We start from the raw sequence: 14,909 nt of genomic DNA on the forward strand, positions 1-14,909 counted from the left end.
TACTAGGTGAGGTATATACTACCAACAAAAATGAGTTAATAAAAATCTCTACTATTTACTATTTATTCAGTGTCATCTGCTATGAAAAATCCTTTATAAACCCAATAGGATTTTCTTCCCAAACTTTCAATTTTGAAAAATTGTAAACCTTGCAGGCCAATTTTGTCTTCTAAATCCCATTCTCCACTATAACTATAATAAACTAGTGCTCTTTGGAAAGAGAGTTGATTCCAGGGCCAAGACAGAAAAAGTAAAAGTGAGACTAAAACAACTTGTGCCAAAAAGAAATATAGTGCTCAGAAATGTGATTTGATTTTCTTCACAGATAAACTCTGTAAAAGTGATTATTCCCATTAATGAAACAGGTTCAAGTGCCTTTTCTAATGACTGCTGTAATCCGTGTTCTGATTTAAACTTGAGCTTTTTTCCCCCCATCCATTTACTCATCCGTTTATTCAATGAAATTTATTGAGTATTTTTTGTATGCCAGAAATGACATTATGCTTTAAAAATACAGACGGCTAGGCTGCTCTAGAGATATTCAGAGGCAAGCTGTTCATTTTGAAATTTCTTATAGTATAATACTGTGGAGATTTCATTCACTAGACAAGACGCAGGCCATACACAATATCAAGATGCCAAAGTATTTTTTGATATTTGTTGCAACATTATAGGGCTATATTGTCTTGGGTTTTTAATGCGTAGGAAGATATTTTATTAGTAAATATATTTTGTATGAGGAAAACATTGTATGTTTTATGTGGGTTGAAATAAATCAACACAAAAGCTAAAATCCAAAATCATAAAGTATATTATTATTTTTATTTTAATTGAAATCCTAAGGATATTGAAACTATTCTGTTTTTTAAACATATAGCTTAGAAATGTCTTAAGGACTTATGCCCTTTGATAGATAATTTTAAAATCCGTTGTTTAACAGCCAAAGGCCTTGGTGATAACACTTTCATTAGAAGTTAAAAGGTGATACTGATATCTGTTTAGAAATAGGAGATAAACTGGCAACCTTTAGGAATTATCATATATTCTCTATCAACTCTGAAAATACATGAATTTAACACTTTAAAATATTATGGTGTTGATGCTAGCCTGCATTTAAAACAAATCTAGCCTCAATCATAAACAACTCCAATGAGGTATTATGGAATACATAATATACTAATATTATATATTTGTTTAATATAAATCACAAACATTTTATCTTGCTTGTACTCTTTAAAGTCAATTATGCCAATTAAACATTGAAGAATTGATTCTTATAAATCTAAGTATATTAACATTTTAATTTACAGTTAATGCGTTCTCTGTTTTATACCACCCTACTCAGAGGACGGACAAAGACTTACCGATTTATATTATAAGATCCAAACCCCAGACTATGGTTGACTGTACCAAGAACGAACACTGACCCAAATTAGGCCAATCAAATCCTTTTTGCCAGATTTTTGCATTGGAAACATAATTCATTTTAATCATTTTGGTTTACTTGAATTGAGGTCTTGGTTTACTTGAACTGAGGACTTGAGAAATCTGGAATGCTGAAGTGGATGTGTTTTCTACAGGAATACTAAAGAGGTAAATTCAGTTCAGAGAAAGAGAGAATTGAAGTAGATTCATACAGAAAAGCAGAGGTGTCAGCCCACGCAAGTTACAATCACAGGAATTCAGGCAAAGAAGGTCTCCTACATCCCTAAAATTCTCCTGTTCCAGATGCCAGCCCATATGAACCTTAAGTGGCATTTTCTGGTCTTCAGTTTTGTAAGACAGTTCCAAAGTTCTATATTCAATTTCATTTTCTGCTTCAACTCTTTGAAAATGATTTGCTTTTATACAGAACAAAGTATTTTCTCCATTCAGAGACTAGTAAAAAATATAAAATTGCTATCTAATAAGACATTCTAAAAATAAGGAATAGATATAAACATAAATGATATAAAATATCTGTAGATATTTTTGAGTGGAATTATATTAATTATTCAATGCCAAATAATATACTATTACTTCATTTCAAAATCCTTATCCAAATAGTTTCAATCACATCAACTTTTTACAGATAAGAGCATTTACTAAATAAAGTTATCCAGATAAAATATTAATGCAGTGATACATTTATAATGAAAATCTGTATTCAAATAAATAAGACTATGAAATAAATTCCAGAGGTACAAACAAATTTGGCCACTATCATAGAAATGTATTTTCATTTCTCTGCATAATTAATACAATCCAATTATAAAACAAAATGATTTAGGTAACTTGCAAGATATTAAAGTAAAATGGAATATATATTTAGAAGGAACCAATACATATTAATACTCATGGAAAACATTGCGTTGATTAAATGAAGTGTATGATTTGTACATTTCCTTTAAATGTTTTGAATAAAGCTTCCTTTCTTTTTTTTAATAAAATCATTGCTTGAATAATTTCTTCATATTTTGGCTGCTTCTCCAACCCTCCATTTTAATTAGTGTTCTATAACCATTTATACTATATCCTAATTAAGAAATCCATTAAGTCTCTATAATAGTTGCTTTGGAGATAACATTAAATTTACTGGAGTTTTAAATAATACATTCATGAGATGGGATTTTAATGTGCAATTTAAGAAGTTATTAATGTTCGAAAGACAGAGTCATTGCTTCTGTGTTCAATCAATACGCAGTACATAGCTTTTTCCCTTAATACTTAGTTATCAGCTTTATCATTTCTAATATTTCATGAATACTCTTAAGTGTTTTTATGGAGGGAGACAATTTAGTGAAAAGTCTCTGCTTTAGAAATTTTTATACCCATTTATCTCAATAAAAATGTTTCGGACATAGATTAGTCCTACCACCTTAAGTGTGACTATGACTTTTATTTTTTCACGAATTCCGTAGACCCAAAATGCAAAATCTGTGGAACAAATAATTTTCTTTTATAAGGAAGATTCCCCCCCACTTTTTTTTTTAAAGTTGCAGGAACTGCGAATAGTAAACTAGCCTGACAGTCTAGGAATCTAAATATAATTCCTGAGACTCCTACAAGTTGCCTATGCTATATTATCCATCCTTGCCACAAACTATTTTGGCATCTTCTGCTTTATCTATAAAATAAAGAGCCCCTAGTAGATGGAGCTAGCTTTCATCCATAAAGCATCTATTTTAAATCATCCAGGTGAGTACATTATTTTAAAAGCCGTAACAAAATGAATATATAATCAACTCAATTATATTTTGAACAAATTTGTTTTGTAAGCCATTACTAGACACTTATTTCTTAACTTTATAATTGAAAACAATATGTTTTCATTAAATTCATTATATCCTAGGTTTGTATGCAAATGAGAAGTTAGGAAGGATATTTTAATATCAATATAATAAAATAAGTGAACGTTAAAATTCAGTTGATTGGTTTTATAATTTTGTAACTTAAAAGATAATTGAAACTAGGTTGAAGGAATAGGAAATAAAATATATATATATATGTTTTCATAGGGCAAGGTACTCAGAAGATAATTTTTATTCAAGAACAGGAATTTTAAAAGCTTTAAGCCTGCAACACACAGCAAAACATCCTTGCAACTCAGGTAGAGTAAGCAAGTGAGTTAGGACGGGAAGGAGATCAGTTCTGCCAACCATGGGTCTATATGGAAAGCCTGGAAGTCACTGTGATTGTGGTGGGACACTACAGCAAGGTTTCTGCAGGAAACATTATAAAGAACACAATAATAACTATTACTGTTAACACCATTTTTATTTTAACTTTTTATTTACAATATTTGATCCACTTAAAAGTGATCAAGGTGATTCTGAAAGTTTGCATATATTCTTCACCAGGTTTCCCCTAATAACATTTTCCATCACCATGTTACCTTGAATGAAAACTAAGAAACACCGCTCCATTACTGTTAAATGATTTTTCAGAATTCATCAGTTTTTCTACTTACCTCCTTTTCTATTTAACTTTTCAATTCAAGATACCATGTCACCATGTCTCCAAGTCTTTTCTAATCTATGACAGTTTATTTTTCTTCCCTGCTGTTCATGACTGTTCAGATGTCTTGTAAAATGTTCCTGAGTTGGGTTTGTCTGATGTTTTCTTGTGTGATATAGTTTGGATATGTGCCCCCACCCAAATCTCATGTTGAATTGTAATCCCTAATGTTGTAGGTGAGGCCTAGTGAGAGGTGATTTGATCATGGGGATGGTTTCTCATGAATGGTTTACCACTATCCCCTTGGTGCTGTACTTGTGATAGTGAATTTTCATGAGATCTGGCCTTGTAAAGGTGTGTAGTAAGATGACTGCTCCTCCTTTGCCTTCCACCATGATTGGAAGCTTTCTCAGGTCTCCCCCAAAGCAGAAGCTGCTATGTTTCCTGTACAGTCAGCAGAACCATAAGCCAATTACATCTCCTTGCTTTATAAATTACACGGTCGGACTAATGTATCAGGATTACACTGGAATTATTTATTCTGGGAAAGAATATCAAAGAAATATCCCTCGCCACTTTCCATATACTAGTTGTTGGAAGCAAGCCACTAAGTCCAGCCCATGCTAAAAAGAAATAAAATTCAGCTCCACCTCGTAGAGGAGAGTATAAAAACATTTCTGAATATTTTGAAGCCACACAGTATTTAATAATTATTTGTGAAGTGATAGTTTGAGTGGCATTCACCTGTGGATGTTGCCTGTAGCAATTATTACTGTACTCTTCTAATCATGATTTTCTATTTCCACATTTCTGCGAAATTTATCATTTAGAATTCTGCTCTAAGGAAGATTCATCTCTTCTCTATTGATTTATCTAATAAATCATTTATTATTTAATAAGTAATCTATTTATATCCATATAGACTCAATATGTACTTTATTATTTCAGTTCTAGTTTGAAATTATTGTTATTTACATCGTTGCTTAAACTGTTCCAGATTTAGCTATTGGAAGCTTTCAAGTTGGCTCCTGTGTCCCTTTGACATGGCCTCATCTTTTTTTTAAATTTTTTCTTATTTTCTATCACTGCAACATGCCACAAATTTCTCTTATATTTTTCAAGCCACATCCCTATAATCCATTTTTCCATGGAATCCCACATTCCTTTAATTAGAAAATTGCATTTAGAAATTAAGATAAGTGTGTGCTAGGTTTTCTCACTGCTACTGGACTGTCACTCTTTCTAGGTCATCTCTGTAGACTGAGCTAGGATATATGAATGTGTGTGTGTGTGCATGTGTGTGTGTGTTTGTATTATCCCATGTATGCACACATATCTATACTTATTTATAATTATTTATTATTTCTATATCAGAATAAACATCAATTCAAAATAATATTTCTGTCCCTGATCCAGCAACACAAGATATACTCTAGCTTTTTTTAATATGTGTAACTTTCTCTGCCAGTGCAAAACTTAGCTCCCATTGTGTTAGCTCCAGTTTATTTATTTGTTCAACTCCAGTGTTTATATAGCTTCAGAATTAACTCCTGACCATGTAAGAAACAAATTAACTGCTGAAAGTTGGTCCTTATGTACCATTCTTTTGTTTTTAGCCTCCCAGTATTCAGTCAAAATTCTCCTTTCCAAGGTTACTTAAATTAGCTCCTCTTTCCCAACCCCTTTTGGTGAGATTATGCTGTGCATTAGTAATACAGTTAGATTTATTTTTCACAGCCTGCATTTCCTCCTGGGATTCTCCAATATCCTGGTTCATTTTGTAAAATCTGCATATAGTAAAGTTCACTCTTTGTTATGTACAGTTCTGTGGGTTTTAACAAACGCATAGAGATCATTACTATTTTCTATACCATTGGAGCTCTCCTCTAGAGAATACTTTGGAGCAAGAGAGAGGAGGTGGGTAAAATTCGTAGCAATGAGAAGAGCTATAAACTTACTATTGTAGTCGGTGGGAGAAATTATGGTAATTTTGACAATAAGATGGATTATTTCTGGATTTCCAATATGACTCACATTATATTCTCTTCTAGATAATTACAGTGTCCTTATTTTAATGAGGCATATTTACTTTTTAAACCAGTTAAAACAAATATTTAATTTTTGAGTTTGAATATACATAATCTTAAGTAAAATATGCTAGGAATGGCCTCATGTTACCCTTAACTTATGATACCTGGGAAGATTTGAGATATATGTGAAAGTAGAGATGATATGCTGATCAATTGGGTAAGGGATGTAATAAAAATATAATTTAAGAATAACTCTGAGGTTTTTATCTTGAGTGAATTGTGGCACCATTTGAAGGAGTTGTTGAGTACCTTTACAAAAATGGTGAACACATTTTGTTTTCTAAACAACAGAAACAAGAAATTATATAGATTAAATGAATAATACAAAATTTAAATGTTCCTGGTTAAAGCCTTATTATTCTAAGTAGATGTAAAGAAAGGAAAAGATTGTAGTTAATTTTGTACTAATTCGTTATCTCAAATATTTCTAATATCTTCTAAATGCACAATTTAGGAGAATGAGCCTGCACACAATAAAATTCCATTAATACATTTTACATCTGTGGAGTATGCTTTCATATGTAACCACTGCAAACTCTACTCCTGTAAGTCATGGAAAACAAAAATAATTTTTTAATACTGCCCCCAGTTTTCTCCCACCTTCCCCCTGACCCCAAGCTCTGAAGATTAGAACTAGGAAAGGTGACATATAGACATTAATTGAGTTCAACACTCAAGTCATGTAAACTTGGTTAGTCATTGGGCACTCAGTTTTCAAAAAACCTGGGCAGTTTTGATGACTTCTGCCTCTCACTTAAACCCTGTGCCTCCGTTCTCAAGCGGGCACCCCAACTCCCCACTGAGCCAGGCTGAAAGGACCTCCCAGCACCTGCTCAGTGGCCTCTCTCAGGACACTCAGCACTCTCTCCAGTGTCCTCTGTCTCACTGGACAACAGAGGACAGCCTAGAAGCCTGTTGATCTTATTTAAAGTAAACTGGTATCTTAAGACACAAAAACATACTTGGGGAGCCCTATATATCTAAGCCAGTGTTCCACATCTTCCAGGGTCTGAGGAAGCTCTTCTCCCACCTCTGGTCTCTGCAGAAGGGGCTGTCGGCCCACCTGGACTTTGGGATCAGACAGATTGCTGGTGCTTTGCTGCCTTGATCAGAGAACATAAAACATACCAGTGTAGTAGTTTGAAAATACAACATGGGCCGGGCGCGGTGGCTCACGCCTGTAATCCCAGCACTTTGGGAGGCCGAGGCGGGTGGATCATGAGGTCAGGAGATCGAGACCATCCTGGCTAACACGGTGAAACCCCGTCTCTACTAAAAATACAAAAAATTAGCCGGGCGCGGTGGCGGGCGCCTGTAGTCCCAGCTACTCGGGAGGCTGAGGCAGGAGAATGGCGTGAACCCGGGAAGCGGAGCTTGCAGTGAGCCGAGATTGCGCCACTGCAGTCCGCAGTCCGGCCTGGGCGACAGAGCGAGACTCCGTCTCAAAAAAAAAAAAAAAAAAAAAAAAGAAAATACAACATGATTTTCTTAATAAGTTATTTCCTACAAAGACTAAACAAATATTATTGTGATCTTTTGTTTCTCTTCATTTTCATGAAGACTGAATCAGAGGTGCTTGACATAATAATTTCTAATTCCATAATAATAAATGTGAAGCCATCAGACATGAGTGGAATATCAGAGGTCTGTTGGTTACCTAACTAAACACAATTTCCAGGTCTTTATACACTACTGCCTATTTTTCTATTCACTTACTATCTGTAACTATTTAGCTTGCAGACCTTATAGCAAACTTCTAGATGAAAAATAAAATGTCAAAATGCAACCTGACTTCTCTTAATTATCCAGTTTCTAATAAATTTAATTTCTAATAGTATTCATTTTTTATTGTATTATGAAGATTTGCAAAATTTGTTCTTTCAATATATTTTTGAAATAGCTCTTTCAATGTAATCAGAAGAAAAATCTATACTTTAAAAATATTAAAAATATACTTTAAAAATCAATTAACAAGTCTCAGGTTTAAATTTTCTAAACTGCATGATTTCCACTTTTTAAAAATTGGCTTATTTAATGAAATGAACTCTATCAATTAGTAAAGGATAAGCTGGAAGGAAAGAGGACTTAAAGTATAAATAACTAAACATGTTTTATATTTTTTGAGCTCTAAAAAATAGTTTGATGTCAGGGTTTTAAATCAATAGCTAAAGGTAAACACTCTGTTTATGGAAAAGTCAATATATACAGACTTTGAATGAAGATCAGGTGAGAATGTAAAATAATGATAAAGACATATCTGCAGGGCAGTGTGGAGACAACTTGCCATCACTGTCATTTGTGAGAAAATGGGTTTAAACTGAACAGAACAACAAATTGTTTCAGGCAAGAAAATCAGGCCATAGTAAATGTATTAGTCCATTTTCAGATTGCTGATAAAGACATACTCGAGACTGGGCAATTTACAAAAGAAAGAGGTTTATTGGACTTAGAGTTCCACATGACTGGGGAGGCCTCACAGTCATGGTGGAAGGTAAGGAGGAGCAAGTCACATCTAACGTGGATGGCAGCAGGCAAAAAAGAGAGAGCTTGTGCAGAGAAACCCCTGTTTTTAAAACCATCATATTTCATGAGACCCATTCACTATCTTGAGAAGAGCACGGGAAAAACCCGACCACATAATTCAATCATCTCCCTCGGGGTCCCTCCCACAACACGTGGGAATTAGGGAGCTCCAAGATGAGATTTAGGTGGGGACACAGAGCCAAACCAAATCACTAAATGTGATGGGGAAACTGGGAAAAGATAAAGTAAAGAGGATTTTTATTAGTCCATTTTCATGCTGCTGATAAAGACATACCAGAGATAGCAGATGCTTGTCATTGCACCAAGACATACCCAAGAAGAAAGAGGTTTAATAGATTTAACAGTTTCATATGGCTGGGGAGGCCTCACAATCATGGCAAAGGCAAGGAGGAGAAAGTCAAGTCCTATATGGATGGCATTAGGCAAAGAGAGAGCTTGTGCAGGGCAACTCCCATTTTTAAACCATCAGATCTCATGAGACTTACTCACTATCACGAGAACAGCAGGGGAAAGACTCACCCCATGATTCAATTACCTCCCACCTGGCCCCTCCCACAACACATAGGAATTCAAAATGAGATTTGGCAATGAAAAAAAGCTCATCATCACTAGTCATTAGAGAAATGCAAATCAAAACCACAATGAGATACCATCTCATGCAAGTTAAAAAGTTAGGAAACAATAGATGCTGGAGAGGATGTGGAGAAATAAGAATGCTTTTACACTGTTAGTGGGAGTGTAAATTAGTTCAACCATTGTGGAAGACAGTGTGATGATTCCTCAAAGATCTAGAACCAGAAATACCATTTGACCCAGCAATGCCAGTACTGGGTATATACCCAAAGGATTATAAATCATCTACTATAAAGACACATGCACACGTATGTTTATGGCAGCACTGCTCACAAGAGCAAAGACTTGGAACCAACCCAAATGCCCATCAATGATAGACTGGATAAAGAAAATATGATACGTATACATCATGGAATACTATGCAGCCATAAAAAAGGAGGAGTTTATGTCCTTTGCAGGGACATGGGTGAAGCAGGAAACCATCATTCTCAGCAAACTAACACAGGAACAGAAAACCAAACACTGCATATTCTCACTCATAAGTGGCAGCTGAACAATTAGAACACATGGACACAGGAAGTGGAACATCACACACCAAGGCCTGTCACGGGGTGGGGAGATAGAGGAGGAGTAGCATTAGGAGAAATACCTAATGTAGATGACAGGTTGATGGGTGCAGCAAACCACCATGGCACATGTATACCTATGTAACAAACCTGCACGTTCTGCACGTGTATCCCAGAACTTAAAGTATAATAAAAATAAATTATAAATAAAATAACAACAGCAACAAGAAAAAACAAAATGAGATTTGGGTGGGGATACAGCCAAATCATATCAGGATTACTTTAGGTGTCTTTCATATTCTATGCTATAAACAGCAACGTTCTAAATGTCTTGTATATTTTTGCAAGGAGAAAACAATTTTTCCTCTTAATTAAGTGAAAAACATAGAGATATATTCCTGACAAAGAAGTAGTCTCTTTTGCAAGCAATCCAATGAATATGCAGCATGAGTTATGGAAAAGCTAATGGTAAAATAAAACTCTAACATACTGCTTTTAAGATTATTTATATTAAAACAAAAAAATTAAACCTCTGTTTCATATTAATTTTTAAAAATACTTCTCATAAAATTTAGGACATTGTAATTATCTGAAAGTGAATGTAATATTAATCATATTAAAATAAAAAAATAGAATAGTTCTTAAATTGTTAGATTATGAGAAAATGCCTATAAGAATAATTCATGAGGAAAGTAATATTATCTTTTTTTGTTATATGGTTTCATTAAGCATATTTTTCATAAGAATATTTTTTCAGAAATAAGTAATCCATGATACATTTTGTCATAGCAGTGCAATTTATATATCTCTAAGGCATTTCTAATTAACTACAATTTTCTTGCTATTTTCTATATAATTTGAAAACAAAATGACTTCAAAGTATTTTTTTAATTTTGAAATTTACATGATTCTTATTATTTACAATTTTACAGATACAACATTTAGTCTTAAGAATTTGAGGTACACTTTCCATCTATGTCATGTAAGCAATCTTACAATTTTGCATTTGACTAATTTGCATTTATTGCCCGTAATGTTCTATGGCTGCATCAGCATTCTTCACATTTATTGACTTATTAAATTGGCAACAAAAAATCCTGTGATATCTGTGATATAGACATAATATTTTAAAATGGACGTATCTAAAATCTATCTCAATTAAGTATTTATATCCAAAGATAAGGCATCCATTGAATAAATTCTCAAACTAAACAGGGATGCAAAACTTATATCCTAAATAGTGCATTTTCAGCTGAATCACTACTGCCTCCAAATAAAAATCAGTTAGTAGATTTGAAAGGATTTAGAGCGAAACAGAAAGCATGAGGGTTTTTAAGCCCAGGATGGCCAGGGTCTGAGGAGCTCTCTGAGGGCACAAGGCTGTCAGTATGTGAGGAGTCCCCATCAAGAACTGATCTGCCCTATTATTATTCTTGGAATTACAGATACATTAAAAATTATGAGAAGGGAAATATCGAAACAACAAAGGCTTCCTAAAGCTAATTAGAATTTGAAATTAAGGAAGTGCAATTAAGCATTAAGGGAATTCCCACCCCTCGGACTGCAACTTCCTAGCTCTGCTAGCTTTTCTGTTAGGAGTGAAGCTAGTTTTCAGTTGAAGCCAATTTGGTATTTCAAGACTGAAACCTTTCTGCAACACACAGTTTTCTAAGTATTATGCTAGGATGAGAAAAAAGTGTTTGTTTTCAGATAGCTTAAAGAATTGTAAGGAAGAGAAATATAAAAATAAGAAAGCATTGGGATGATGGGAATAGAGTAGAATTCAAAATGCAATTGAGAGTTCAGAGAGGAAAGCCCAATTCACCTGGGAAGTTACAAGGTTGTACAAAGCAGGTTAAACATCTGCTAAATGTTGAATCATGAGGAGAAAGCTTGCGGATGGATACAATGAAGGAAAATGGCTACAATAAAAGGTATGTTTTCAAGGTAAACAAAAAAATAAGTCAGCATCAGGTATTTTGAGAGACAATAAGAGGCCAATTATTATAAGATGGTAAATACTTTCCTAGGAGTTTATTACTCAATGGCAACTTATTGAAAAGTATTCAACAGTGGAATAATGAAATCAGGTTTATATTCAACTATGGCATGTAACTAATTTTCCCTTTGTAACTAATATGTATTGACTGACAAATAAATATATTCAAAGCATTATGAAACTCTATATTCAAGCAAAGAAAAAAGCACAAAAAAGAATATGACAAATGCTGATATAATGATCGTAAACCTTTTGGGAACTTTTGTGATTTAATTCATATCTAACATCTGCATAAATCTGCTACTTAGGTTTTATTAAAGCTTTTGACATTGCAAGAAATGCATTATCATTTTCGACCAGTGCTAGGTCATATTTGCGAAAGAATATATTTATTAAATCCAAATAGGAAAGGAGAAATGTGTTTATTTGCTTTTCATTTTTGTCTGATTTTGTTTCTCTGCCTCTAGAGCTCTGCCCTATATTCCAAATATTTTAAAATTGTTTCTTTTCTAATAGCTCATCTTTCTTTTTACATGAAAGAGACATATATTTTCTAGTATAAAATATACTGTAAAGTGCAAAGAAAATATTTAACATTCCTCCACTCTTATTTATCCAGCATAATTTAATCATTAGACTCCCTGTTCCACATTTTGAGTAACACAATGAGCAGGATACTCAAGATTCTTGCCAGAGTCAAATTACACTCTCATGCAGGAAACATAAAAAAAAAAAAAGACTCTAAATAAATATGGGGTATTTAAGTGCTGTGAGGGAAATGCTGTGACTCTGATACAGAATAACCAAAAGGATGGTCTTCCAGGAGGGATGATGTTTCATCTGAAACTTGCAGGATGCTAGGGGCCAGCCATGCCAGGTGGCAGTGGAAAAATGTTTGGCAGAGAGTGAATAATAAATGCAAAGGCTTTGAAATGTGAAGAATGTGGCATGTTTGTTCTAGGAACTGCCAAAGGTCATTGTGATTACAAAAGAGTGAATGAGTGTGGATGATCTAAGCAATGAAATCACTGAATTGGGTTAGATCCTGCAATTATTTATAGGTCATGGTAAAAATATATTAGTCAGGGTTCTTCAGAGAAACGGAACAAAAAGGATATCTACAGATATATATAAGAGGAGGCTTATTATAGTAACTGGCACACACGATTAAGAGGCCGAGAGTTCCACAATCATAATCTGCCTTCTGCCAGCTGGAGAACCAGAAAAGCCAGTGGTGTAATTCACTGGAACCCAAAGGCCTGAGAGAAGAGGCATGTTTCAGCTCAGGCAGAGGGTGGATTTGCTTCTCCTTCACTTTTTGTCCTATTTGGGCCTCAGTGGATTGGATAGTGCACTCACATTGGTGGAAATAATCCTCTTTGCTCTTTCCACCTATTCAAACGCTAATCTCTTCCAGAAATACCCTCACAGACACACACAGAAATAATGTATTACCATCCATATGGTTATCCCTTGGCCCAGTCAAGCTGACACCTAAAGGTAACCATTATGAAAAGGTTTTAATTTCTTTCTAAGTGTAATGAAAAACCGTTAATTTAAGCTGAAAAATCGCATAATTTCATTTTTAAATAAGATTTCTCTATCTGCTCAGTGGAGAGGGTGGAGAAGAAAGCGGAGAAGCTAGCCCAATGTATTCACCTAAACAAGAATGATTGTGACTTTTCTAAAATGGTTAAAACTGAAAGGTAGCGATTCCCCCAGAGCTATAATTTGGAGGTGACATGAACAAGATTTAAAGATTGATAGTGTGTATGAATTTAAGAGTGAATTCTTGGTCTGAATATATTGATTTTGTAGAGAGAATCTTCTTTTTCCTAAATTATATAAGCAATTTTATAAAATCTATGGAGTCTATTATTTTTTTCCTGGAAAGGACAACAACAACATGAGGAAAAGATATCACATCCACTTTAGTGAAATTATTACCACATAGCTTATCAAATATTTTATTATATAAAATATGTCATTGCCTTGGCATTTTAATAATACTTTCAAATCTAATGGTAATACTTTCAAATAAGATTAAATTCACAAGTATACAATTTTTAGACTAATACCAGTATTGGGATTCAATGATTTTTGGCCAAGGTGAGAAAAGATTTCCTTAAACCTCATACTGCTAATCAGGAAAAATAAATAAATAAAATAAGTTATTTAAGCATTTATTTAAATAACTAGAAAAAGTAGTAATGGTTTATTTTAATTATTTTAAATAATTAAATTATTTAAGTAAATTAAATGATTAAATTATTTAACTAAATTAAGTGATTGAATTATTTAATTTTAATAACTTTGTTAAAAAATTTTCAGGTTATTATCACATTTTAATCCCTTAAGGGAATTTCAGTCCACCTTAAATACGTCTCCATTTAAGATGTGTTTTGAAGTTACAGTTAATGTAAAATACTAAAATGCCTCCAGCATTCTTCTGTTATATTGCTTGGAATCCTTTCAATGGTCATGTCTTGTTTTCATTAATTTGTTAACAGATGATGGGGGGTATTTGGTATACTCACATCAAATCCTGTATTAATTAGACCAGGTGAGGTGGCTAACACCATAATCCCAGTACTTTGGGAAGCCAAGGCAGGTGGATCACCTGAAATCAGGAGTTCAAGACCAGCCTTGTCAACATGGTGAAACCCCATCTCTACTTAAAATACAAAAAAAAATTATCTGGGCGTGGTGGTGCACATCTGTAATCCCAGCTACTTGGGAGGCTGAATCAAGAGAATTGCTTGAACTCAGGAGGCAGAGGTTGCAGTGAGCTGAGATCACACCACTGCACTCCAACCTAGGTGACAGAGTCTCACTCTGTCACAAAAAAAAAAAAAAAAAAAAAAAAAAAAAAAAAAAAGATCCTGCATTAATTAGAGTTCTAAATAGTTTCCCATCAGAAATGAGTGCATTTTTTTGCATTCTATTTTTATTTTTTACAAAATAGCCAAACAATAAAAAGAACACAAATAGAAAGCATAGGAAAAAAAGGATTCTTTATACTGAATAATATTAGCGCTCTCAAAATTCTCCAGTGGAACTGAATCTCCCGCACTTCTTCAGTGATGACACTGGAGACTCTTGAAAGATGAGCTACAACATTTGATTAAACTTTCTATTTTCACAAAAGGAAAGGTGTGATGCTATTTTACATATCAATAATTTAAAATGATCTATGTTAAT

The sequence above is a fragment of the Homo sapiens genome, chromosome 13 (genome assembly GCF_000001405.40).
Source record: "Homo sapiens chromosome 13, GRCh38.p14 Primary Assembly".
NCBI classification, from domain to species: Eukaryota; Metazoa; Chordata; class Mammalia; order Primates; family Hominidae; genus Homo; species Homo sapiens.